Below are 25,121 nucleotides of genomic sequence, written 5' to 3'. Positions count from 1 at the left end.
GCTCATTTTGGCATTCAACCTAATTCACTTTCCCCAACCACACTAAGAGCTGAGACTGCCACTGCAAGTCAGAGTCCACAGGGAGTGTGGCATGCTACTCTCCCTAGGCTGCGGCCACAGGGACTTCAAAGTCTGGGCAATACTGACTTGCCTGAATACAAAAAAGATCAAGTTGTCATCTGGCCTTGTCCCACTCAATTTATGAGCCTTGATTTTCTCATATTTCCAGTGTGGAAAGAATGACTAGTTCTTTGTTGTTTCTTCTGGATATGTCTGAATAGTAATGCTACCACTGTGCTATTTTCAGAGTTGAAGGACAAATGGCACGGGTGATTCTGCAGCAATAGCACTGTGGGTTATGGGCAATGCTAACTGCCTACCAATGAGCTTTGCCTTCAGAGCTGATGCTACTGCAGGTGAGTGCTACCTGAGCCCAGAGCTGTGGCTGAGGGTATTGTTCATTCCATAATTTATTTACATCACTTTCCATTCTGTAAGCAGCTCTTTTTTTTTTTTAATATATACTGTAAGTTCTGGGATACATGTGCAGAACATGCAGGTTTGTTACATAAGTATAAACGTGCCATGGTAGTTTGCTACACCCATCAACCCGCCATCTACATTAGGTATTTCTCCTAATGATATCCCTCCCCTAGTCACCCACCCTCTGACAGGCCCTGGTGTGTGATGTTCCCCTCCCTGTGTCCATGTGTTCTCATTCTTCAACTCCCACTTATGAGGGAGAACATGCGGTGTTTGGTTTTCTGTTCCTGTGTTAGTTTGCTAAGAATGATGATTTCTAGCTTCATCCATGTCCCTGCAAAGGACATGAACTCATCCTTTCTTATGGCTGCATAGTATTCCATGGTGTATATGTGCCACATTTTCTTTATTCAGTCTATCATTGATGGGCATTTGGGTTGGTTCCAAGTCTTTGCTATTGTGAATAGTGCTGCAATAAACATACATGTGCATGTGTCTTTATAGTAGAATGATTTATAATCTTTTGGGTATATACCCAGTAATGGGACTGCTGGGTCAAACAGTATTTCTGGTTCCAGATCCTTGAGGAATTGCCACACTGTCTTCCACAATGGTTGAACTAATTTACAGGCCCACCAACAGTGTAAAAGCTTTCCTATTTCTCCACATCCTCTCCAGCATCTGTTGTTTCCCGACTTTTTAATGATTGCCATTCTAACTGGCGTGAGATGGTATCTCATTGTGGTTTTGATTTGCATTTCCCTAATGACCAGTGATGATGAGCTGTTTTTCATATGTTTGTTGGCCACATAAACATCTTCTTTTGAGAAGTGTCCGTTCATATACTTCACCCATTTTTTGATGGGGTTGTTTGTTTTGTTCTTATAAATTTGTTTGAGTTCCTTGTATATTCTGGATATTAGCCTTTTGTCAAATGGATAGATTGCAAAAATCTTCTCCCATTCTATAGGTTGCCTGTTCACTCTGATGATAGTTTCTTTTGCTGTGCAGAAGCTCTTTAGTTTAATTAGGTCCCATTTGTCAATTTTGTCTTTTGTTGCCATTGCTTTTGGTGTTTTAGTCATGAAGTCTTTGCCTGTGCCTAGGTCCTGAATGGTATTGCCTAGGTTTTCTTCCAGGGTTTTTATGGTTTTAGGTCTAACATTTAAGTCTTTAATCCATCTTGAGTTAATTTTTGTATAAAGTGTTAAGGAAGGGGTCCAGTTTCAGTTTTCTGCATATGGCTACCCAGTTTTCCCAACACCATTTATTAAATAGAGAATCCTTTCCCCATTGCTTGTTTTTGTCAGGTTTGTCAAATATCAGATGGTTGTAGATGTGTGGCATAATTTCTGAGGCTTCTGTTCTGTTCCATTGGTTTATATATGTGTTTTGGTACCAGTACCATGCTGTTTTGGTTACTGTAGCCTTGTAGTATAGTTTGAAGTCAGGTAGCATGATGCCTCCAGCTTTGTTCTTTTTGCTTAGGATTGTCTTGGCGATACTGGCTCTTTTTTGGTTCCAAATGAAATTTAAAGTAGTTTTTTTCTAATTCTGTGAAGAAAGTCAATGGCAGCTTGATGGGAATAGCATTGAATCTATAAATTACTTTGGGCAGTATGGCCATTTTCACAATATTGATTCTTCCTATCCATGAGCATGGAATGTTTTTCCATTTGTTTGTGTCCTCTCTTATTTCCTTGAGCAGTGGTTTGTAGTTCTCCTTGAAGAGGTCCTTCATATCCCTTGTAAGTTGTATTCCTAGGTATTTTATTCTCTTTGTTGCAATTGTGAATGGGAGTTCACTCATGATTTGTTTCTCTGTTTGTCTATTATTGGTGTATAGGAATGCTTGTGATTTTTGCATATTGATTTTGTATCCTGAGACTTTGCTGAAGTTGCTTATCAGCTTAAGGAGATTTGGGGCTGAGACAATGGGGTTTTCTAAATATACAATCATGTCATCTGCAAAGAGACAATTTGACTTCCTCTCTTCCTATTTGAATACCCTTTATTTCTTCTCTTGTGTGATTGCCCTGGCCAGAACCTCCAACGCTATGTTGAATAGGAGTGGTGAGAGAGGGCATCCTTGTCTTGTGCCAGTTTTCAAAGAGAATGCTTCCAGCTTTTGCCCATTCAGTATGATATTGGCTGTGGGTTTGTCATAAATAGTTCTTATTATTTTGAGATACGTTCCATCAATACCTAGTTTATTGAGAGTTTTGAGCATGAAGGGGTGTTCAATTTTATCAAGGGCCTTTTCTGCATCTATTAAGATAATCATGTGGTTTTTGTCATTGGTTCTGTTTATGTGATGGATTATGTTTATTGATTTGCATATGTTGAAGCAGCCTTGCATCCCAGGGATGAAGCTGACTTGATCGTGATGGATAACCTTTTTGATGTGCTCCTGGATTTGGTTTGCCAGTATTTTATTGAGGATTTTTGCATCAATATTCATCAGGGATATTGGCCTGAAATTTTCTTTTTTTGTTGTGTCTCTGTCAGGTTTTGGTATCAGGATGATGCTGTCCTCATAAAATGAGTTAGGGAGGAGTCCCTCTTTTTCTATGGTTTGGAATAGTTTCAGAAGGAATGGTACCAGCTCCTCTTTGTAACTCTGGTATAATTCGGCTGTGAATCTGTCTGGTCCTGGGCTTTTTTTTGGTTGGTAGGCTATTAATTACTGTCTCAATTTCAGAACTTGTTATTGGTCTATTCAGGGATTTGGCTTCTTCCTGATTTAGTCTTGGGAGGGTGTATGTGTCCAGGAATTTATCCATTTATTCTAGATTTTCTAGTTTATTTGCATAGAGATGTTTATAGTATTCTCTGATGGTAGTTTGTATTTCTGTGGGATCAGTGGTGATAACCTCTTTATAATTTTTTATTGTGTCTATTTGATTCTTCTCTCTTTTCTTCTATATTAGTCCGGCTGGCAGTCTATCTATTTTGTTAACCTTTTCAAAAAACCAGCTCTTGGATTCATTGATTTTTTGAAGGGTTCTTTGTGTCTCTATCTCCTTCAGTTCTGCTCTGATCTTAGTTATTTTTTTGTCTGCTGCTAGCTTGTCTAGTTATTTTCATTATAATGTTAGGGTGTCGATTTTAGTTCTTTCCTGCTTTCTCCTGTGGGCATTTAGTGCTATAAATTTCCCTCTAAACATTACTTCAGCTGTGTCCCAGAGATTCTGGTATGTTGTGTCTTTGTTCTCATTGGTTTCAAATAACTTATTTATTTCTGTCTTCATTTCGTTATTTACCCAGAGTCATTCAGGAGCAGGTTGTTCAGTTTCCATGTAGTTGTGCGGTTTTGAGTGAGTTTCTTAATCCTGAGTTCTAATTTGATTGCACTGTCGTCTGAGAGACTCTTATGATTTCTGTTCTTTTGCATTTGCTGAGGAGTGTTTTACTCCCAATTATGTGGTCACTTTTAGAATAAGTGCAATGTGGTGCTGAGAAGAATGTGTATTTTGTTGATTTGGGGTGGAGAGTTCCGTAGATATTTATTAGGTCCACTTGGTCCAGAGCTGAGTTCAAGTCCTGAATATCCTTGTTAATTTTCTGTCCCATTGATCTTTCTAATATTGAAAGTGGGGCGTTAAAGTCTCCCACTATTATTGTGTGGGAGTCTGAGTCACTTTGTAGTCTCTGAGAGCTTGCTTTATGAATCTGTGTGCTCCTGTATTGGGTGCATATATATTTAGGATGGTTAACTCTTCTTGTGTTGATCCCTTTACCATGCCCTTCTTTGTCTTTTTTGATCTTTGTCGGTTTAAAGTCTGTTTTATCAGAGCCTAGGATTGCAACCCCTGCTTTTTTTTTTTTTTTGACACAGTTTCACTCTTGTTGCCCAGGCTGGAGTGCGATGGCACAATCTCAGCTCACCACAGTCTCCGCCTCCCGGGTTCAAGCGATTTTCTTGCCTCAGCCTCCTGAGTAGCTGGGATTCCAGGCATGCACAAGCACACCCGGCTAATTTTTGAATTTTTAGTAGAGACGGGGTTTCTCCATGTTGGTCAGACTGGTCTCGAACTCCCGACCTGAGGTGATCCGCCTGCCTTGACCTCCCAATGTGCTGGGATTACAGGCATGAGCCACCATGCCCAGCCAACCCCTGCTTTTTTTTTTTTTAACTTTCCATTTGCTGGGTAAATATTCCTCCATCCCTTTATTTTGAGCCTATGTGTGTCTCTGCATGTGAGATGGGTCTCCTGAATACGCCACACTGATGGGTCTTGACTCTCTATCCAATTTGCCAGTCTGTATCTTTTAATTGGGGCACTTAACCTGTTTACATTTAAGATTAATATTGTTATGTGTGAATTGGATCCTGTCATTATGATGCTAGCTGGTTGTTTTGCCCATTAATTGATGCAGTTTCCTCATAGTGTTGATGGTCTTTACAATTTGGTATGTTTTTTGCAGTGGCTGTTACCGGATTTTCCTTTCCAAATTTATTGCTTCCTTCAGGAGCTCTTGTAAGGCTGGCCTGGTGGTGACAAAATCTCTCAGCATTTGCTTGTCTGTAAAGGATTTTATTTCTCCTTCACTTATGAAGCTTAGTTTGGCTGGATATGAAATTGTGGGTTGAAAATGCTTTTCTGTGAGAATGTTGAATATTGGCCCCCACTCTCTTCGGTCTTGTAGGGTTTCTGCAGAGAGGTCCGCTGTTGGTCTGATGGGCTTCCCTTTGTGGGTAACATGACCTTTCTCTCTGGCTACCCTTAACATTTTTTCCTTCATTTCAACCTTGGTGAATCTGATGATTATGTGTCTTGGGGTTGCTCTTCTCGAGGAGTATCTTTGTGGTGTTCTCTGTATTTCCTGAATTTGAATATTGGCCTGTCTTGCTAGGTTGGGGAAGTTCTCCTGGATAATATCCTGAAGAGTGTTTTCCAACTTGGTTCCATTCTCCCCATCACTTTTAGGTACACCAGTCAAACGTAGGTTTGGTCTTTTCATATAGTCCCACATTTCTTGGGGGCTTTGTTCATTCCTTTTCATTCTTTTTTCTCTAATCTTGTCTTCACGCTTTATTTCATCAAGTTGATCTTCAATCTCTGATATCCTTTCTTCCACTTGATCGATTTGGCTCTTGATACTTGTGTATTCTTCATGAAGTTCTCGTGCTGTGTTTTTCAGCTCTATCAGGTTATTTATGTTCTTCTCTAAACTGGTTATTCTAATTAGCAATTCCTCTAACCTTTTTTCAAGGTTCTTAGCTTTCTTTCATTGGGTTGGTACATGCTCCTTTAGCTTGGAGGAGTTTGTTATTACCCACCTTCTGAGGCCTAATTCTGTCAATTTGTCAAACTCATTCTCCATCCAGTTTTGTTCCCTTGCTGTCGAGGAATTGTGATCCTTTGGAGGAGAGGAGGTATTCTGGTTTTTGGAATTTTCAGCCTTTTTGCACTGGTTTTTCCTCATCTTCGTGGATTTATCTACCTTTGGTCTTGGATGTTGGTGACCTTCGGATGGGGTTATTGTTTGGACATCCTTCTTGTTGATGTTGATGCTATTCCTTTCTGTTTGTTAGTTTTCCTTCTAACAGTCAGGCCCCTCTGCTGCAGGTCTGCTGGAGTTTGCTGGAGGTCTACTCCAGACCCTATTTGCCTGGGTATCACCAGCAGAGGCTGCAGAACAGCAAAGATTGCTGCCTGTTTCTTCCTCTGGAAGCTTCATCCCAGAGGGGCACCCACCAGATGCCAGCTGGAGCTCTCCCGTATGAGGTATTTGTAGACCCCTGCTGGGAGGTGTCTCCCAGTCAGGAGGCACAGGGATCAGAGACCCACTTGAGGAGGCAGTCTGTCCCTTAGCAGAGCTTGAGCACTGTGCTGGGAGATTTGCTGCTCTCTTCAGAGCCAGCAGGCAGGAATGTTTAAGTCTGCTGAAGCTGCACCAAAGCTGCCCCTTTCCCCAGGTGCTCTGTCCCAGGGAGATGGGAGTCTTATCTGTAAGGCCCTGACTGGGGCTGCTGCCTTTCTTTCAGAGATGCCCTGCCCAGAGAGGAGGAATCTAGAGAGGCAGTCTGGCTACCGTGGTTTTGCCGAGCTACAGTGGGCTCTGCCCATTTTGAACTTGCTGGTGGCTTTGTTTACACTGTGAGGGGAAAATCGCCTACTCAAGCCTCAGTAATGGCAGACGCCCCTCCCCCCACCAAGCTCAAGTGTCCCAGGTGGACTTCAGACTGCTGTGCTGGCAGCGAGAATTTCAAGCCAATGGATCTTAGCTTGCTGGGCTCCATGGGGGTGGGATTCGCCGAGCTAGATGACTTGGCTCCCTGGCTTCAGTCCCCTTTCCAGGGGAGTGAGTGGTTCTGTCTCACTGGCATTCTAGGCACCACTGGGGTATGAAAAAAACTTCTGCAGCTGGCTTGGTGTCTGCCCAAATGGCCACCCAGTTTTGTGATTGAAACCTAGAGCTCTGGTGGTGTAGGCACCCGAAGGAATCTCCTGGTCTGCGGGTTGTGAAGACCATGGGAAAAGTGTAGTATCTGGGCTGGAGTGCACTGTTCCTCATGGCACAGTCCCTCATGGCTTCCCTTGGCTAGGGGAGGGAGTTCCCCAACCCCTTGCATTTCCTGGGTGAGGTGATGCTCCACCCTGCTTCGGCTCACCCTCCATGGGCTGTACCCACTGTCTAAACAGTCCCAGTGAGATGGGCCAAGTATCTCAGTTGGAAATGCAGAAATCACCTGCCTTCTGCATTGGTCTCACTGGGAGCTGCAGACAGGAGCTGTTCCTATTCAGCCATATTGCCAGCCCAAATGGCTCTTTTATTTAACAAATATTATAAAGTGGCTACTCAGTGCCCTGTCCTGTGCAAGGCACTGGAGATACAGTAAGGAGCAAATAAATGTCCTGCCCACAAGGAGCTGATATTCCACGTGTGTATAGGAGGCAAAGTGGGATGACAATAAATACCAAGAGAAAAAACCAAGATAAATACCCTGAAGAAAATAAGAGGATAATGCCTGAGGCCATGACTGGAGGGGCTGGAGGTGGGATGCCTGCCCACTTATGCAAGGATAATGAGGGAAGGCCTCTGCAGAGGTGAGATGTGATGCAAGGCTTGAATGGTGAGAGGACAACAATGGAAAGATGTTTGCAAGAGAGCTCTGAGCAGAGGAGGTAGCCAGTGCAGAGGTCCTGATGCCGGAACAAAGGAGACATGTTTAAAGGACAGAGAAATCCGATGTGACCTGGTAGCCTTGATAAAAATTGTGTATTTTATTTCAACTGTTACAGAACATCTTCGGAGGGTTTCAGCAGGGGAGAGACACTGTCACCTTTTAGTTTTGCAAACACAACTCTGGCTGCCATATGGCACTGGATGTAGGGGAACCTGTGGCCATGGTCCAGGCAAGAGATGCTGGGAGCCTGGTCTGTGGCTGTAGTTGAGGAGATTAGGCAAAGAATTGGCTGGCGACACATTGGCACATAGAACTGACAGGGCTTGCTTTGGAACTGTCTGAGCCATTACTCAGAACAAAGCCCATCATTGCTGATACCCTTTTTCAGGCTGGAAGGCTCAGTGCAGAAGGACCAAGGTGGTCCCATTAGCAACAAGCCAGCCTGGCCAGTCTCTTGCTGTTGTTTTTCTATTGTCAATGGCTGTGCTTTCCTCCCTGGGAGCACAGCTTTGTGCTGCCTCTTCTTACCACTGTGCTCCCTGCCCTGAGCATGTCATGGTGGACTCTGTTTGCACATATGCAGAGACCACCCAGGGAAAGCCTTACCAGGGACACTGGCTCTTGGGCCTTGGAGGCTGGTAAATAGGTGAGGGTCATGGGGCCTTGGAAGCTGGTGAGTAGGTCCCCAAGGCAGTGATCTCTGCCTTCCTCTACCTAGACTGCCACAAGTCCAGGCTGAGAAGACTGCCTGGAAGACAAGCTGTAACACAACATTTGAAGTCCCTTATATATATTCATTCATTTGATCCTCACAACAACACTTTGAGACAGGTCTCATTATTGTCCTCAGTGTTCAGGTGAGGAAACTAAGGCACAGTGGTTATATAACTTGTCCAGGATCAGAAAGTGCAAGGAAGCAGCACCAGGAATTAGTGCAGGCAGTCTGCTCCACAGCCCAGGCTTTATCCACTGCTCTCCCTGGCTTCAAGTGTGGCCCTGCCCACCAGGGAAGTCACACACAAGTGACAGAGATGAGAGATTTACAGGCAGCACAAGAAGCACATGGCACCGAGGAGATCCCTAAATACTAAAGTGCACAAGGACGGCCTCTTGTAGGAAAAGTGGACTCAGGCTGGCCCAAAGGACAGGTGCAGTCCCATGGAGCAGAGCTGGGGAGGCACTATAGTCAGAGCTGAGAGCAGATTCACAGGGGTAGTAGCAGGGAATGAGTACGATGTGTGTGGCAGACCAGACTGGGACAACGAGAGGACAGTGGCTGCTAGAGGGGTGTGGCTGCGGCCAGACCAGGGGTCACATGACACCCTTTACTGGCATATGAGGCTCAGAAGTCTTCGTTTTATCCTGATAACAGGAAGCCACTGGAGGACCAGCATGAGGGTGAGGAAGCCACAGAAGGGAGATGGCAACTCTGAAAGGCATGCATTAAGCCTGGATGCTAGAGGTACGATCCCTCAGACATTCTCAATTGTTCTCCCTAGAAGTAACTGATCAATATCCCATTTTTACTCATAATAGCCAAAAGGTGAAAACAACTGAAACTTTCATCAACTGATGAATGGGTAAAGAAAATGTGGTCTATCCATACAATGGAATATTATTCAGCCATAAAAAGAATGAAGTATTGATACATGCTAAAATATGTACAAGCCTAGGAAATAAGTTATATGAAAGAAGCAGTTACCAAAAGCCATGTATTGAATGTTTAAAGTGATGGATATGGTAATTATCTTGATTTGATTCTTATATAATGTATACATGCATTGAAACATTACACTGTGCCCCACAAATATGTACAACTATTATGTGTCAATTATAAATTTATAAATTGATTTTTTAAAAGGCTGCATATTGTATGATTCCATTTATATGAAATGCCCAGAAAAGGCAAATCCGTAGAGACAGAGAGTAGATTATTGGTTGCCAGGGGCTGTGGGGAGGAGGGAGTGGAGAGTGACTGAAAATGGCACCAAGTTTCCTTTTGAGGTGATAAAAATGTTCTAAAATTAGATAGGGGTGATGGCTGCCCAGCTCTATAAATATACTAAAAATGACTGATGTACATTTTACAAGGGTGAATTTTATGGTGTGTAAATTGTATCTCAATAAAGGTGTTATCAAACCACCATTGCTTGATTTCCTTATGCTGATGAGTAAACAAATCAACATTTCCAGCTGGTGCTGAGACTTACCTTGCGTGCTACTTGTTGAAACCGTTTTTGTGCCCTGGACCTGCTGAGCCAAGTGTTATTAATGAGTGGATCAAAAGTAGGATGAAATTCCTTGATTTTCTGTGAATATAAAATATAGGCACATCTTACATTTAAATTTTAACTCCTGTCATAAACATCTAATAAAAACATTTTAGAGTTTGATCCCAAATCAAGTTGTTATTTATTTGTTGTATTGCTTAGTGAGCATTTATTTATTAAGCACTTTTAGTGTACACAGCATTATAAGGAACACTTCTTGAGTTGGGGGCCAAAAGTGGAGGACAAGATTAGGGTTTTAAGAAACTTATAGTCTAGTTAGGAAAGCTCAAGCAAACACATGTGACTTTGAGGAAGAATAAAGTCACCAATCCCATGTGGTGGTGCTGACAGTGCATCCAGAATTGAAAGGCATGGGCTGTGAGATCCCCTGGCTGGGTAGGACTACTTTACTCAGCCCTGCATGCCCAGCGCTGACACATGTATTGTCCCACATGTGCCTGCATGTCCTGGGCACCAGTGTATCTAAGTTAGTAAATGAATAAGGAGGAAAGAGTGTCTGCGGGTATAGTGAGGCTGGCCAGAGCCTGAGGCACTGTAGGTTCTTGAATAAGGAAATTATATAAAAAGAGACAGCAGAAGGGAATCAGTCTTACTTTGGCTTATGCCATGAGCTGCAGAGGAGAGGGAAGAAGATCAGTTATACAGACAGAAAAACCTGTTGGATTAGTCATCGGGGACACCCAAAGGTTGGACTCTGATATGGCCCATGGAAGCGCCATTGGCAAGACTTTGTGGCCAGAATAAATCTAGTGAGGAGGAGGGCAGGGAGAAATGTGGTAAAAATAATTCAGATATGGCAAACCTAGCAAAGAAAAGTGAGAATGATGGAGGTGGGAGATTAGAATTTTATCATCGTTGAAATTAAAAGTTGGACTTTTAACCAGTGATATGGTTTGGCTGTGTCCCCACCCAAATCTCATCTTGAATTGTAGTTCTCATTATCCCCAGGTGTTGTGGGAGGGACCAGATAGAGATAATTGAATCGTGAGGGCAGTTTTCCCCATCCTGTTCTCGTGATAGTGAGTTAGTTCTCAAGAGATCTGATGGTTTTTGTAAGGGGCTTCTCCCTTCACTTGGTTCTCATTCTTCTTGCTTCTGCAGCCATGAGAAGAAGGATGTGTTTGTGTCTCCTTCTGCTATGACTGTAAGTTTCCTGAGGCCTCCCCAGCCATGTGGAACTGTGAGTCAATTAAACCTCTTTCCTTTATAAATTACCCAGCCTCAGGTATTTCTTCATAGCAGAGTGAAAACTAATTAATACACTAAATTGGTACCAGGAGTGGGGTGCTACTATAAAAATACTCAAAAATGTGGAAGCAACTTTGGAACTGGGTAACAAGCAGAGATTGGAACAGTTTGCAGGGATCAGAAGAAGGAAAATGTGGGAAAGTTTGGAGCTTCCTAGAGACTTGTTGAATGGCTTTGCCCAAAATGCTGATTGTAATATGGACAATGAAGTCCAGGCTGAGGTGGTCTCAGGTGGAGATGAGGAACTTGTTGGGAACTGGAATGAAGGTGACTCTTTCTTTGTTTTAGCAAAGAGACTGGGGGCATTTTGCCCCTGCCCTAGAGATCTGTGGAACTTTGAACTTGAGAGAGATGATTTAGGTATCTGGCAGAAGTAATTTCTAAACAGCAGAGTGTTCAAGAGGTGACTTGGGTGCTGTCAAAAGCATTCAGTTTTATGTATTCACGAAGATATGGTTTGGAATTGAACTTATGCTGAAAAGGGAAGCAGAGCATAAAAGTTTGGAAAATTAGCAGCATGATGATGTAATAGAAAAGAAAAATCCATTTTCTGAGAAGAAATTCAAGCCAGCTGCAGAAATTTACATAAGTAATGAGGTGCCAAATGTTAATCACTAAGACAATGGGGAAAATGTCTCCAGGACATGTCAGAGGTCTTCATGGCAGCCCCTCCCATCACAGGTCTGGAGACCTAGGAGGGAAAAATGGTTTTGTGGGCTGGGCCCAGGGCCTTGCTGCTTTATGCAGTCTTGGGATTCAGTGCCCTGTGTCCCAGCCATAACTAAAAGGGGCCAAGGTACAGCTCAGGCCATGGCTGCAGAGGGTGAAAGCCCCAAACCTTGGCAGCTTCCACATGGTGTTGAGCCTGTAGGTGCACAGAAGTCCAGAAATTAGGTTTGGGAAACTCTGTCTGGATTTCAGAGGATGTATGGAAACACCTGGATGTGCAGGCAGAAGTTTGTTGCAGGAGTAGAGCCCTCATGTAGAACCTCTGCTAGAGCAGTACAAAGGGAAATGTAGGGTTGGAGCCCCCACACGGAATCCCCACTGGGGCACTGCCTACTGGAGCTGTAAGAAGAGGGCCACCATCCTCCAGACCCCAGAATGGTAGATCCACTGACAGCTTGCACTGTGCACCTGGAAAACCCACAGACACTCAATGCCAGTCTGTGAAAGCAGCTGGGAGGGAGGCTGTACCCTGCAAAGCCACAGGAGCAAAGCAGTCCAAGGCTATGGGAGCCCATCCCTTGCATCAGCATGACGTGGATGTGAGACATGGAGTCAAAGGAGATAATTTTGGATCTTTAAGGTTTAATGACTGCCCTATTGAATTTCTGACTTGCATGGGGCCTTGTAGCCCCTTTGTTTTGGCCAATTTCTCCCATTTGGAATGGGTATATTTACCCAATGCCTGTACCCCCATTGTATCTAGGAAGTAACTAACTTGCTTTTGATTTTACAGGCTCATAGGTGGAAGGGACTTGCCCTGTCTCAGATAGGACTTTGGACTGAGACTTTTGAGTTAATGCTGGAATAAGTTAAGGCTTTGGAGGACTGTTGGAAGGGCATGATTGTGTTTTAAATTGTGAGGACATGAGATTTGGAGGACCAGTGGTGGAATGATATGGTTTGGCTGTGTTCCCACCCAAATCCCGTCTTGAATTGTAGTTTCCATAATTCAAGACATGACCCTCATAGAAGGGCATGATTGTGTTTTAAATTGTGAGGACATGAGACTTGGGAGGGGCCAGAGGCAGAATGATATGGTTTGGCCATGTCCCCATCTAAATCTCATCTTGAATTGTAGTTCCCATAATCCCCATGTCATGGGAGTGACCAGGTAGAGATAACTGAATCATGGGGGCAGTTTCCCCCATCCTGTTCTCATGATAGCGACTTAGTTTTCAAAAGATCTGATGGTTTTATAAGGAGCTTCCCCCTTGGCTTGGTTTTCATTCTTCTCATTCCTGCCACCATGTAAAGAAGGAAGTATTTGCTTCTTCTTCTGCCATGATTGTACGTTTCCTGAGGCTTCTCCAGCCATTCAGAACTATGAGTCAATTAAACCTTTTTCCTTTATAAATTACCAAGCCTTGGGTATTTCTTCATAGCAGTGTGACAATGAACTAATATTACAAGACAGAGATAATCAGGTGGATGGGGCCACAGTACTCATTTTAGATTTGAGAACAGTAAGGCACCACAGCCAAGAGGCTTGCCAAGGTCCCAAATCTGTCATAGAGTTGTAACTAGGACTCTGGCTTCTGACTTCTGACTTTGTATCCTTTCTACCAAGGGAAGGAGGATAATGAATAGAGGCCAAGGGACCCACCTTGAGGACCTGTGGACAGGGGCTTGGAGAATGAAGGAAAACAAAAAAGGAGACCTAAAATGAGAAAGTAGTGGGATGAAAAGGAGTGGCCAAAGTATGTAGTGCTGTTCATTTCAAGAGAAACATGAATTACAAGTTTTGATGCTTTACTTGCAAAAACATGGTAACATTCTGAAAATGTATGCAAATTAAAAAGTATTAAATATCTCTTGGTAAAGGATTTCTATAAAATTGTTTAGCATTCAAAAAAATAAGCATTTAAAGAGCTGCCAATAATCAGATTCTAAATAAAGGAAAGTTACCCACCTCTTCTTGATTGCGAACAACCCGTTTATGGCTAACTTCTGTTTTAAGTCGCTGAAATTCCTCATCCAAAATAGGATCTCCTCTGTCTAGCTGGGTTTTTAATCATCAAAATAATTTAAGTTGAATATAAATGCGTAAAACAATTTGTCTTTAAAACTTGTAGAAACCCATTAAGCAATTGGCCAAATCCACCCACGACGTTCCCATTGGAAGTGGTGAAACACAAGTGGGTAAAAAAGATCAGTATGATTACACTGTTTAAACATAGGGAGCTCTTATCGAAGCACAGATTCGATACCTCCTTTTTTTTTTTTTTTTTTTTGACGTTGTCTCGCTCTGTCACCCAGGCTGGAGTGCAGTGGCACAATCTCGGCTCACTGCAAGCTCCGCCTCCCGGGTTCACGCCATTCTCCTGCCTCAGCCTCCCAAGTAGATACCTTCTTTTTATAACTAAAAGATAGTGTCTTTGGAAATTATTTCCAAGACACTTAACATTCATAGAAAGAATTTTAGGAAACTGTAACTATGGGACTATACAAATTTCATTAAAAAGACATTTAACATCCCTGTAAAGTTTTAAGCTCCTCAGAGTCGATTATCCAGGTGTCAGGTTTTAAGGAAGGCATGTGGGGATTCCTTCCTTCTCCTGGGTGGTGGAAGCTGACAGGTCTTCCTGGGCTGGAAAGCAACCTGCGGTTCCCCGGAGGTGAGTGACCCCAGACTGCTCTCCTTCCTTCACCTGCCTGCTTCCCTGATGACGCCTGGGCCCTTTTTCTTATTCCCAGGAGCCAACAGTGACTCCTGGGGTAGGCTGGCTGGGCTGGGTTCAGTGTCTATATGTGTCTGCCCAGGTGGGAAAGGGGACTGCGTACTCCGCAGATGGTGTTAGTTTTTGCCTATCTGTGTGTTCTATTAATTGTTTGTTGGGTAACTTCAAAAACCAGCTTGGCTCTTAAGTATACTGTTTATAAAAATTTTAAAAGACTTATTTGGAATAAATCTATTCTGATCATCACATTAACACCCTAATCAGAAATAAGAGAGGTGTGTTATTGTCACCAGGGTGGTGAGCTGCCTAGCTCTGATTGGCACATATTGGGAAGTTGAGTTTGAGACTGAACACATTAAGTTCAAAGTACAGATTTCGTGGGGAGACCCAGACCCCCACCAGCATTAGGAGTAAAATAAAATAGGCAATATAAAGAAGGGACTGGCAAATAGATCACTAGCTAGAATAATGGCAAGGGAGATTTATTATATCTTTATTAAGACACTGCTGACTTGATGATGAGTAAAAGCTCATCATCCTTGAGGGCTGTGCCATCTCACTCTCAGGCCATCTCCTTCCTTCCCCCACCATTTCTCCTCTTTGTTTCCACCACATGCCTGGGGCCTCCAGGAGTTCCGTGCCACTGGGTCACCTGCCAGGACTCAGCTCTCAGATAAAATCCCCTGGACACACAGAATGGGGTCCCTGAGACGTTTGATCTCCCATATTCCAGGGCGTCTGGGCTGCCTGCTCATCCTCCTTGCCCCAGGAGCCATGCTAAGGATGGGACTGCTCCTTGGCTGTCACTGCCCGCAGCCACAGCCTCAATGCCCACAATGACTGATCTGGGCATGTCTGTGCCAACTTCACCTTTAAAAAGGTTAGAAAACAGCATTCCACTGTTGGGTTGACAGACAATACTTGATGTTTTGTTTTTAAGAAAGCATGCAAAGAATCTGAACATGTGGAACTAAATTTAAATGCACATCTAATATGTGCTTTTCCTAAATGCAAAGATTTACCAATGTAATGATTTTATATTCTTTTGTCTTATGAAAAATGAAGAAAAATAAGACAAATTTATTTAAATATCTAGTTGGACTCCAAATCTGGAAAGAAAAGTACATTCTCTATGAGAAACATATTCATATCTGACAAGAAATGTTTTTCCCCAATCCCACCCATCCACTGCTGCCAAGTCAGTCTACCTGAACCTCACATTACCCAGCTCAAAAATCTGTGTTATGGGTTGAATTGTGTCCCTTCGAAATTCCTGTATTGAAGCCTTAACCCCTAGAACTCAGCATGTGATGGTATTTAGAAATGGAGTCTTTAAAGAAGTGACCAAGTTAAAATGAGGCTGTGAGAGTCGGTCTTAATCCAATATGACTGGTGCCCTTATATCAGAGGAGATTAGGACACAGACACAGAGGAAGACCACATGAAGATATGAGGAGAAGGTGGCCACCAATAAGCCAAGGAGAGAGGTCTGGAATGGATCCTTCACTCATGGCTCTCAGAAGGAATCAACCATGCTGAGAACTTGATTTTGGACTTCCAGCCTCCAGAACTATGAGAAAATAAATTTCTGCTGTTTTAAGCCACCCAGCCTGTGGTACTTTGTTATGGCAGTCTGAGCCAATTAATATAATATGTGATCATTCTGCAAGTCCTACCAATTAAATTCAGACACAGAGCCCCAGCAGACTCCTGTCTCCTCTGGCCCATGTGTATCCTGTGTTTTAGCCACTGTGGACTTGTCCTCAGTGTTCTCTGCACCTGTGTGTAGGTAACAACCATCTTCAAAGCATGGTGAGGCCATGGGTGCTGGACAGTCCCACAGTTCCCATCCCTGAACCTACAGGGGCTATCTTGGCACCCCAGGTGTGGTCCCACTCCCCTCAGCCCACTTTCCCTTTTTCTGCTCAGCCCCTTTGAGGGTCTCTGACTTGGGACTATCATTTGCATCTGTCTCTGATGTGGGTCCTGGTTACCAACTTTGGGTCTCTTTTGTCTTCATGCTCTGTAGATCATGGGACAGGGGACCCCAACTCAAAATTCCAGCTCGAATTTGAGCCATTCCCTCCATGTGAATGCCTTTGTCCTCTTTGCTACTTTTCAAAAAATTATACAATGTCTTCCAGGAAGCATTCCAATCAGATGAATTCTCTCTCCTCTCTGGCTTCTGAATCCCCACAAAACTTAGTATAGGTCTCTGGTGACATTTATAGCCAGTCTTGATTTATGGTTGACAATTTACTTGTCGTCAGCCTTTCCCACTCCCAACTTAACTGTGGGTTTTCCTCCACCTGGCATCTTGCATATAGTAGGAATTTAAAAACATCTAGCGAAACAAATGATAGCAAATTAGCAGTAACTCTGACCTTATATTTGGCACATGCTTTTTGCCACTCTTCAGTAAGCTCTTTTTTAAGTTTAAAAGACATAGGATCTTTACCAAGGTGCACCTGCCTGGGGAGAAAAAAAAAAAACTGTGTCCAGAACCCATCAGAATACCAGAGTCAACTTTAGGATGGAATATTTCACTATATTCCAAAACTGAAAAGGAACCCTGAGATGCTGGAGGAGACACATGGGATAGAGAAGTTAGTTATAGAGGCTTCAGCAACATAACTAAGATGAATAATGTGTTCTACAAAGTTAAGCTTATCTTAAATAGTTATGAATAACAACATCTGGATGCTCAACCTTCTAAATCATTAGGGAAATACAAATCAAAGCCACAAAAATATACCCCTTTACACCCACTGGGATGGCTATGATGATGATGATAATAATGGAAAATAACGGGTATTGCTGAGCAAGTGGAGAAACCCTCATATGTTGCTAGTGGGAATGTAAAATGGTTTGGCCACCATGGAAAACAGTTTGGTGGCACCACAAAAAGTTAAACATAGAGTTACCATATGACCTAGCAGTTCCACGCCTAGGTATGTACCTAAGAGAACTGAAAAGATATGGTCACATAAAAAAGTGCATATAAATGTTCATAGCAGCATTATTCATAATAGTCAAAAAGTGGAAACTACTGAAATGTCCAGTAACTGATGAATGAACAAGCAAAATGTTGCATATCCATTCAATGAGATTATTCAGCCATAAAAAGGAATGCAGTACTAACACATGTTATGATGTGGATGAATCTTAAAAACATGTTAAGTGGAAGAGGCCAGTCACAAAAGACTATGTATTCTGTGATTCCCTTTATATGAAATGTCCAGAGTGGGCAAATCCATAGAGACTGAAAGTAGATTGTGGTTGCCAGGGGCTCCAGGGGGTGGGGAGTGGGGAGTGATTGATAATGGGTATGAGGTTTCTTTTTCTAGTGATGCCTATGTTCTGGAATTGGGTAGTGGTGATGGTCATGCAACATTGTGGATTTACTAAAAACCTCTGCACAATATACTTTAAACTGGTTAAAATGATGAATTTTATCACAATTTAAAGAAACTAATATGCAATGTATTCATCACGAAACCCAGCACATATCTTAAATAAATAATAGTTATGATTTTTAAAGTGGAGGTGGAAGGATGTTCTAGAGAACTGTTTTAGGTTAGAGGAGACTAAAGGGACATGCAAGCTAAATACAAATGGTATGATCTTTGACTGGACCCCAGACACCTCTCTTCAAAAACAAAACAAAAACAAACCAGGTATGGGCCGGGTGTGGGGACTCACACTTGTAATCCCAGCACTTTGGAGGCCAGGGCTAGTGGATTGCTTGAGGTCAGGAGTTCGAGACCAGCCTGGGCAATGTGGCAAAACCCTGTCTCTATTTCATTTTTATAAAATTTAAAATAAATACTTTTAAAAAGACTAGGTATACAGTACATTTTGGGACAACTGGCTAAATTTGCCCATAAGACTGATTATTAGATAATATTATTCTATCAGTGTGAAATCTCTTGGAAGTGATTATAATAATGTTGGAGAATGTCTTTGTTCTTAGGAGCTACATACTGAAGTATTTTGGGGTGAAGCTTCCTGATATTTGCAATTTATCTGTAAATGGCTCAGGGGAAAAAGGTGCATGCAGGTGTGTGTGTGCATGTGTGTGGAGTGAGGGGAAGTGTATGTGTCATAATGTCAACAATTAGTGAACCGAGGTCAAGTGTATGTCAGTTTAAGATCTTTCAACATAAAAAGTTGGGAAAAATATTAAAGGAACAACACAGCATTCAGAATGGGATTTGGGATGTGACTTCAAGTCTGATACAGAGATGCATAGAAAGAACAAAAACACCAGCACTGACAGTGGTCACTGGTCACTGCTGACTGGGGGCATCACCGTGATTTTTTTTCCTTCTCTATATGTAAAAAAACATGTTTTCAGGTTTCCTACAATGATGACCTACCTGTTTTTCATAATAGGGAAAAGGTGTTTATAAACATAAAATTTTCAGTTCCTTGGAGTACTTCCCGTTAACTGAGGCGGGACCATAACTATAGACTTAAGCTGAGACAGAAGGGATTTCTGATGGAAACAAGGGCCATTCCCCAGAGACAGGGGAGCAGCCCGGTGGGCACCTTCAGAGGGCTTCAGGTGAGGGCGTGTTCTCATGTGTCGGGAAGGGTGGAGGCTGGGTCATGGAGTAGGCAGCCTCTCAATGACACTCTCCAAGAGTCTCTTTTTCAGCCCAGTTTACTTTAGCTCAGGCATGGGGACTCGTACCTGTAATCTCAGCACTTTGGGAGGTCAAGCAGGAGAATACTTGAGCCCAGGGGTTTGGGTCCCACCTGGGCAACATAGTGAGACCCCATCTCTAAAAAAAAAAAAAATTTGCTGGGCATGGTGGCACGCACCTGTGCTCCCAGCTACTTGGGAGGCTGAAGAGGGAGGATCACTTTAGGCTGGGAGGCTGGGGGTGCAGCCGGCCATGATGTGACACTGAAATATGCAACATTGAAATATGCAAATGTTGCATATCCATAACACTGGATATGCAACATTTTGCTTGTTCATTTATCAGTTACTAGACATTTCAGTAGTTTCCACTTTTTGGCTATTATGAATAATGCTGCTATGAACATTTATATGCACTTTTTTATGTGACCATATCTTTTTTATGTGACCACTCCAGCTGGGGTGACAGAGTGACACCCTTTCTCAAAAAAAAGAGTTTACTTTTCAGCTAAATCTGTACACATGCATATGCTTGGTCTGATCTGGTAAAAAAAAAATTGTGAAAAAGTTTCTAATTTGGGCACAGAAGCACAAGAATTCTCACATCTCAGTTTTAAAACCTCCATTAGGAGCCCCCCAGAGCCTCACCCCACTGGGCTACCCAGAAGGCCTCTGGGGCACACAGCCCAAGGCACAGGGGCTCCTGGTGAGGTGGAGGATGATGGGGGTGAGATTGGGGGTGCCCAAGGCACCCAGATCTGTCCGGGGGTGAGGGGGTGCCAGCAGCAGCAGGGAGCATCTCCCACAATTCACTCTGGTCCTGCCACTGGTCACACTTAGCAAACAGTGTGGTTTGGTCACATATATTTATTCCTAATAGAAACTTCCTACTGAAGGACCACTGGCAGTGAAACAATCATTAAATTCTCCAAAGTACCTAAAAGGTTATTACATTTTACTGTCTCTCATTTATAAAAGATCATCACCTAAAAATAACTGTACTGACACTTGATACAAACAATTGCTCAATATTTACCACTTAAGATGATTTTCCATCTCTTCGTGAATGTCCTGTCTGACTTTCTGTTCAAAGAGTGCCTCCTTCATCTGTCTCGTTTTTGAAATTTCAGTGCCCTGGTCCAAAACTGAAGGCAGGAGCAGACAATGTTTATACCAGTAATCAGATTAAAATCATGTGCGGAGAGAAAAACACATTTCTAATGGCGAGGCATAACAGCAATCTAACTGAATTTTGTTGTTCATAGGTAATCAGTGTGACCAGCAATGACTCTTTCATATTCTGCTCAGGGGCTGCTTTATGGCCAATCAACTGGTTACCTTCTCTTAATTCTTTAATCTTCAATTTTCCTGGTTCTTGGTTTAAAACAGTTGCCACAGCAAATGGATTCGATAAATCTACTGGAAATCTGAGGTTCTGGTACTCAATTTCCTAAGAGACCAAATCAATAGGGAAATCAGTTAGTCTGCCCCTCTGTCACCCTTTCATCGCACCAAGGACAAGGCCCACCGTACCTTCACCTTCTGAGGCTTCGGCTTCGCTGGCGGTCGGTGAAAATTTATATGCATCATTGCTTTTTCTGGAGGAACGTTTACTTTCTTAGAAAGGGTATTCAACCTTTCAAACTCTTCTAATCTATAGGTTAAAACAAGTGTTAAATTAGTAAATAAGCCATTAACTCAAGGTTCCTAATGTTTTATGTTCCTTCTGATAACACCACAACTTGAAGTCCCTTATTATACCTAAACTGAAAATAAATGTGTGCCCCAACAGTGGTCTACTAAAATAAATGTGATGTCAGTGCATTAGAGTATAATCAGCGATATCAAAATTGCCCACCAACGGTTTTTTTTTGCCTTACATTCTTTTTTTTTGAGATGGAGTCTCACTCTGTCACCAGGCTGGAATGCAGTGGCATGATCATGACTCACTGCAACCTCTGCCTCCCGGGTTCAAGTGATTCTCCTGCCTCAGCCTCCCGCATACCTGGGACTACATGCGTGCACCACTACACCCAGCTAATTTTTGTATTTTTAGTAGAGACGGGGTTTCACCATGTTGGCCAGGATGGTCTCGATCTCTTGACCTTGTGATCCACCAGCCTCTGCCTCCCAAAGTGCTGGGATTACATTGCTTTACATTCTTAAAGAACATACTGACTGAAAACATGACATGCTGAAAAATGCTCTCAAGGTCTAGCATAATCAATTTCTAGCCTGTTGGTTTTCAATAGCTAGATTTATTACATTTAAAAAAATCTTACCTTGATTTATCTTCCTAGTAAAAGAATGATTATGCCAATTGTTTGTAGCAAGATGTTTCAAAAAGAGACTCAGACTAATGTTTGGGATCTTTTCTGTAATTAGAAACTGACTTTGGACATGGTAGTTAGAGGTAGTGCAGCTAATAGCCCGCAGAAGCTATTCAGGTTATCTGTTATGAGATGCAGTAGAACTGTGTTCTATTCAGAAATGCTACCTTTGAAGCATTTCTTTTTTCTTTTTTTAGAAATTATTTTTATCTAAATAGTTATATTTTTCTGCAACACAAGGCAAAGTTACGATTTTGAAAATAACCATTTTAAAATTTATTTGTTCAGTACCAATTTGGCATAATAGCTTAGGGGAAGCATTTCTTTAAGCAACGATGTGTGGACAATTGTTTTATAGGATAAACATTTGTTTTCCATGACAGTACAAAAATAAGATAAAAATAGGTGAACATTCACTCACTCTGACAGTTAATATGTATTTGCTGACCACCCACTGAACAGGCCTGGTTGCATTGTATGGAACTTATGTTAGCAACCTCAAATTTAATGTCTCTCATGTAAGAGCATCCTTACAACCCAGGGCATGGGAGAACGTGTCCCTTGGTGAGACTCCCACCCACCGACATGCTCTGATGTGAAGGGTGAGGTGTTTAGCCAGGTAGCGAACTGAGGTTCAGCATCCCTGTCTCAGTGGAGCCTTGACACCACCTCTGCTGTTAAATATTGGGGAGCAACTAAACCTGGGGGCATTAAAAAGCAGCCTCCTAAACAATATCCTCAACGTCGATGACGGAAATGAAGAGGTCTAAGAAAATGATAAATCAGTTACATGTGGAATTTGGCAGGGCCAAATTTAGACATGAGTAAGTCTATCACACACCCTATAATGAAATGAAGAAAGCAATCTATGAAAATTTCAGAGAGCACTACAGCCAGTATTTTTTCCTGTTCAGAAACTACAGCTAGTTTTTTTCCCTTCATGATAGAATTTATATGTTATAATATTATTTGCAGTTTTGGAGAGACATGCAGATCTTAAGACATAGTCCTTGACAATGTCAAGAGTATACCAGATAAGATACTAACATAATAATTTAGAAATAGCGTACACCTGCATTTGTATGGTGCTTCTGTCATACAATGCTGTCGTGCATGTAAAAGCACAGCCATGGAAGGATATACAAATAAAAATCGCACTCATGTTATGTCTTTAAGAAAGTCATTTGAGTATTGTAGCACCTGATGTGAAGTGGCAAACACCATTTTGCTCACCTGCTTATTTGCCACCAGAAAAATCAGCAGTTTTAAAATTTGTGTTCAGTTCTACTTGTTTGTTGCCCGAGTGATTTCAATGATGGTTATTTGCAGGATTTGGGTTCAGCAGGCCACACTAATATCCTACAGTTGACTTAGGCTGCTTTGAATTTTTAGGAAGAAAAATCATGATATAAATATCTAAGATATCATGGAGTGAGTTCATATTTTGATATAAGGTTGCTACTCCACTTGTAATATGCTTAATGATGTGAATATGTGATGTGTATCCATGCGCAAAGAAGAGGAAAACCAAGATATTTCCCTATCATTTTCAAAATAATTGTCAGAATCTTCTAAGATTGGTATTTATACTGTGACAACTTTTTTGTTTGTTTGTTTGTTTGAGATGATGTCTCGCTCTGGCACCCAGGCTGGAGTGCCGTGGCGTGATCTCGGCTCACTGCAACCTCTGCCTCCCAGGTTCAAGCGATTCTGCTTCAGCCTCCCAAGTAGCTGGGATTACAGACAGGATGCCACGTCAAGGTAATTTTTGTATTTTTAGTAGAGACAGGGTTTCACCCTGTTGGCCAGGCTGGTCTTGAAAGCCTGACCTCAGGTGATCCACCCGTCTCAGCCTCCCAAAGTGCTGGGATTATAGGCGCGAGTCACCATACCCAGCAACTTTTAACGTTTATATAAAAATCTTGGGTATAAGAAAAAAATCATGATGTTAACCAGAGGTACTGACATGTAAAAGTACAAGCTCATATTCAAATGGAAATGGAAGTTCAGAAAGGATTTGTTATGAAGCACAACTTAATCCCATTTCACATCTTTACTCTGACTTGAAGTCTGATGGTGCTTTGAAAACCTCCCGTGTTTTTCAAACATTTCTGTTTTTCAGACATTTCTGTCACTGCCTCATGTGAAATCACTTGTTATATGACTTATTTTGGTCTCTTGAGGTTGTGGGCCATTTCCCACTGAGCTTTGCAATGGGCACTGCAAACAGCAGGGACTCAATTAATTAAAATGCTATATGGAAACCTTAAAAACAGTTATGTTGTTCTGGCCCTATTGTTTAAATTTTCGACTAGGCAATAAGACATGCATATGGTAAAAAAATTCCAACAGTGCACCAGTAGTGATCAGTGAAAAAACATGTCCTTCAAAAATCCCTTTTTCTTGTTTCTTCCCTTCTTGTCAGAAGCAACTCTTGCTACTAGCATAGATATATTCTATATTTCTGTTATGTTTTACAGTATATCTTATGTTGGCTCATCATTTTAAATAAGTTTTTGATGACATTCTTTTACAAGAAAGACAGAATGGAAGAAAGGAAGACTTGGATTTTCAAAAAAGGGTTAAAAATAAACAAAAACACTGCAAAGACGCCATACGGTAAGGCCATGTTGGGATAGCATGTTCCGGTGAAGACACATTCGTATGGTTGAGAGTTGAACTGCGAAATCCATAACTGCATTTTTATTTGTGCAGTCCCATACTGAAAGGGTGTAAACTTAATAGTCACAGTCATCTTCCCATTAGCCGGAATTATTCCTGAGAGGAAAGAAATGAGAAAATGTGATACCCTCTCTTCTTGCCAAGTCCAGTCACATGCTGACACACACACAAATATGGCTGACCCTCTGACAATGTGGAGATTAGGGGCACTGACTCCCCACACAATTGAAAATCCACACATAACTTTTGGCTTCCCAAAAACTTAATAGCCTACAGTTGACCAGAAGCCTTAAAGATAACATAAACAGTCAATTAACACATATTGTATATGTTATATGTATTATTTACTATAAACCAGATAAAAGAAAATGTCATTATGGAAATGATAAGGAAGAGAAAATATATTTGTTATTCATTAAGTGGAAGTGGATCATCACAAAGGTCTTCATTCTCTTTGTCTTCGTGTTGAATAGGCTGAGGAGGAGGAAGAGGAGGGATTGATCTTGCTGTCTCAAGGGTGGTAGAGGCAGAAGAGGTGGAAGAGGTGGAAGAAGAGGCAGGCACAGTCGGTTTAACTTTTACTGAAAAAAATCTGAATATAAGTGGGCTCATGAAATTCAAATCCATGCTGTTCAAGGGTCAACTGTACATTCTTCCCATGCTAAGCACAAACACAGTCTTTCTATTATCCTTATGTAGCTTTTTCATTAAATACATGTGAATCAACTTCTGCATGTTTACATTGATCTTATTTATTAATTACTATATTAATCCTTTACAATAATTATTTGATTGTGTCACTTCTACAAATATATACACATCAATCTGCATTAGCGATTCAGACATGAATTCCCAGAACTATCATCTGTAAGCAAATTACCAGATGTCAATATTAAT

At 42.0% G+C, this 25,121-nt stretch overlaps 1 protein-coding gene across 13 annotated transcripts in view; it reads right to left on the bottom strand.

The window, feature by feature from the left end:
- The window catches only part of CFAP221 (cilia and flagella associated protein 221), a 115,875-nt gene that overhangs the window by 34,786 nt on the left and 55,968 nt on the right, over positions 1–25,121 (bottom strand). For 10 of the 13 annotated variants that reach the window (XR_922883.4, NR_073133.2, XM_006712353.4 and 7 more), the window contains 7 exons: positions 24,161–24,320; positions 20,746–20,866; positions 20,551–20,662; positions 20,249–20,357; positions 16,949–17,036; positions 13,796–13,885; positions 9,829–9,927 (listed from right to left, as the gene is read on the bottom strand). Coding sequence is in view for 10 of the 13 variants with exons in the window: in XM_006712353.4 (XP_006712416.1) it covers positions 9,829–9,927; positions 13,796–13,885; positions 16,949–17,036; positions 20,249–20,357; positions 20,551–20,662; positions 20,746–20,866; positions 24,161–24,320 (779 nt within the window). In the remaining 3 variants the exon portion in view is untranslated. Of the gene's footprint in view, positions 1–9,828; positions 9,928–13,795; positions 13,886–16,948; positions 17,037–20,248; positions 20,358–20,550; positions 20,663–20,745; positions 20,867–22,775; positions 23,213–24,160; positions 24,321–25,121 lie in introns of those variants that run through there. The other 3 variants (NR_073132.2, XM_047443619.1, XM_017003559.2) reach the window with 3 other exon arrangements.

The sequence above is a fragment of the Homo sapiens genome, chromosome 2, assembly GCF_000001405.40.
Source record: "Homo sapiens chromosome 2, GRCh38.p14 Primary Assembly".
In the NCBI taxonomy this organism is placed as follows: Eukaryota; Metazoa; Chordata; class Mammalia; order Primates; family Hominidae; genus Homo; species Homo sapiens.
Note: the sequence above shows the minus strand (reverse complement) of the source record. Positions and strands in the feature narration are given on the sequence as shown.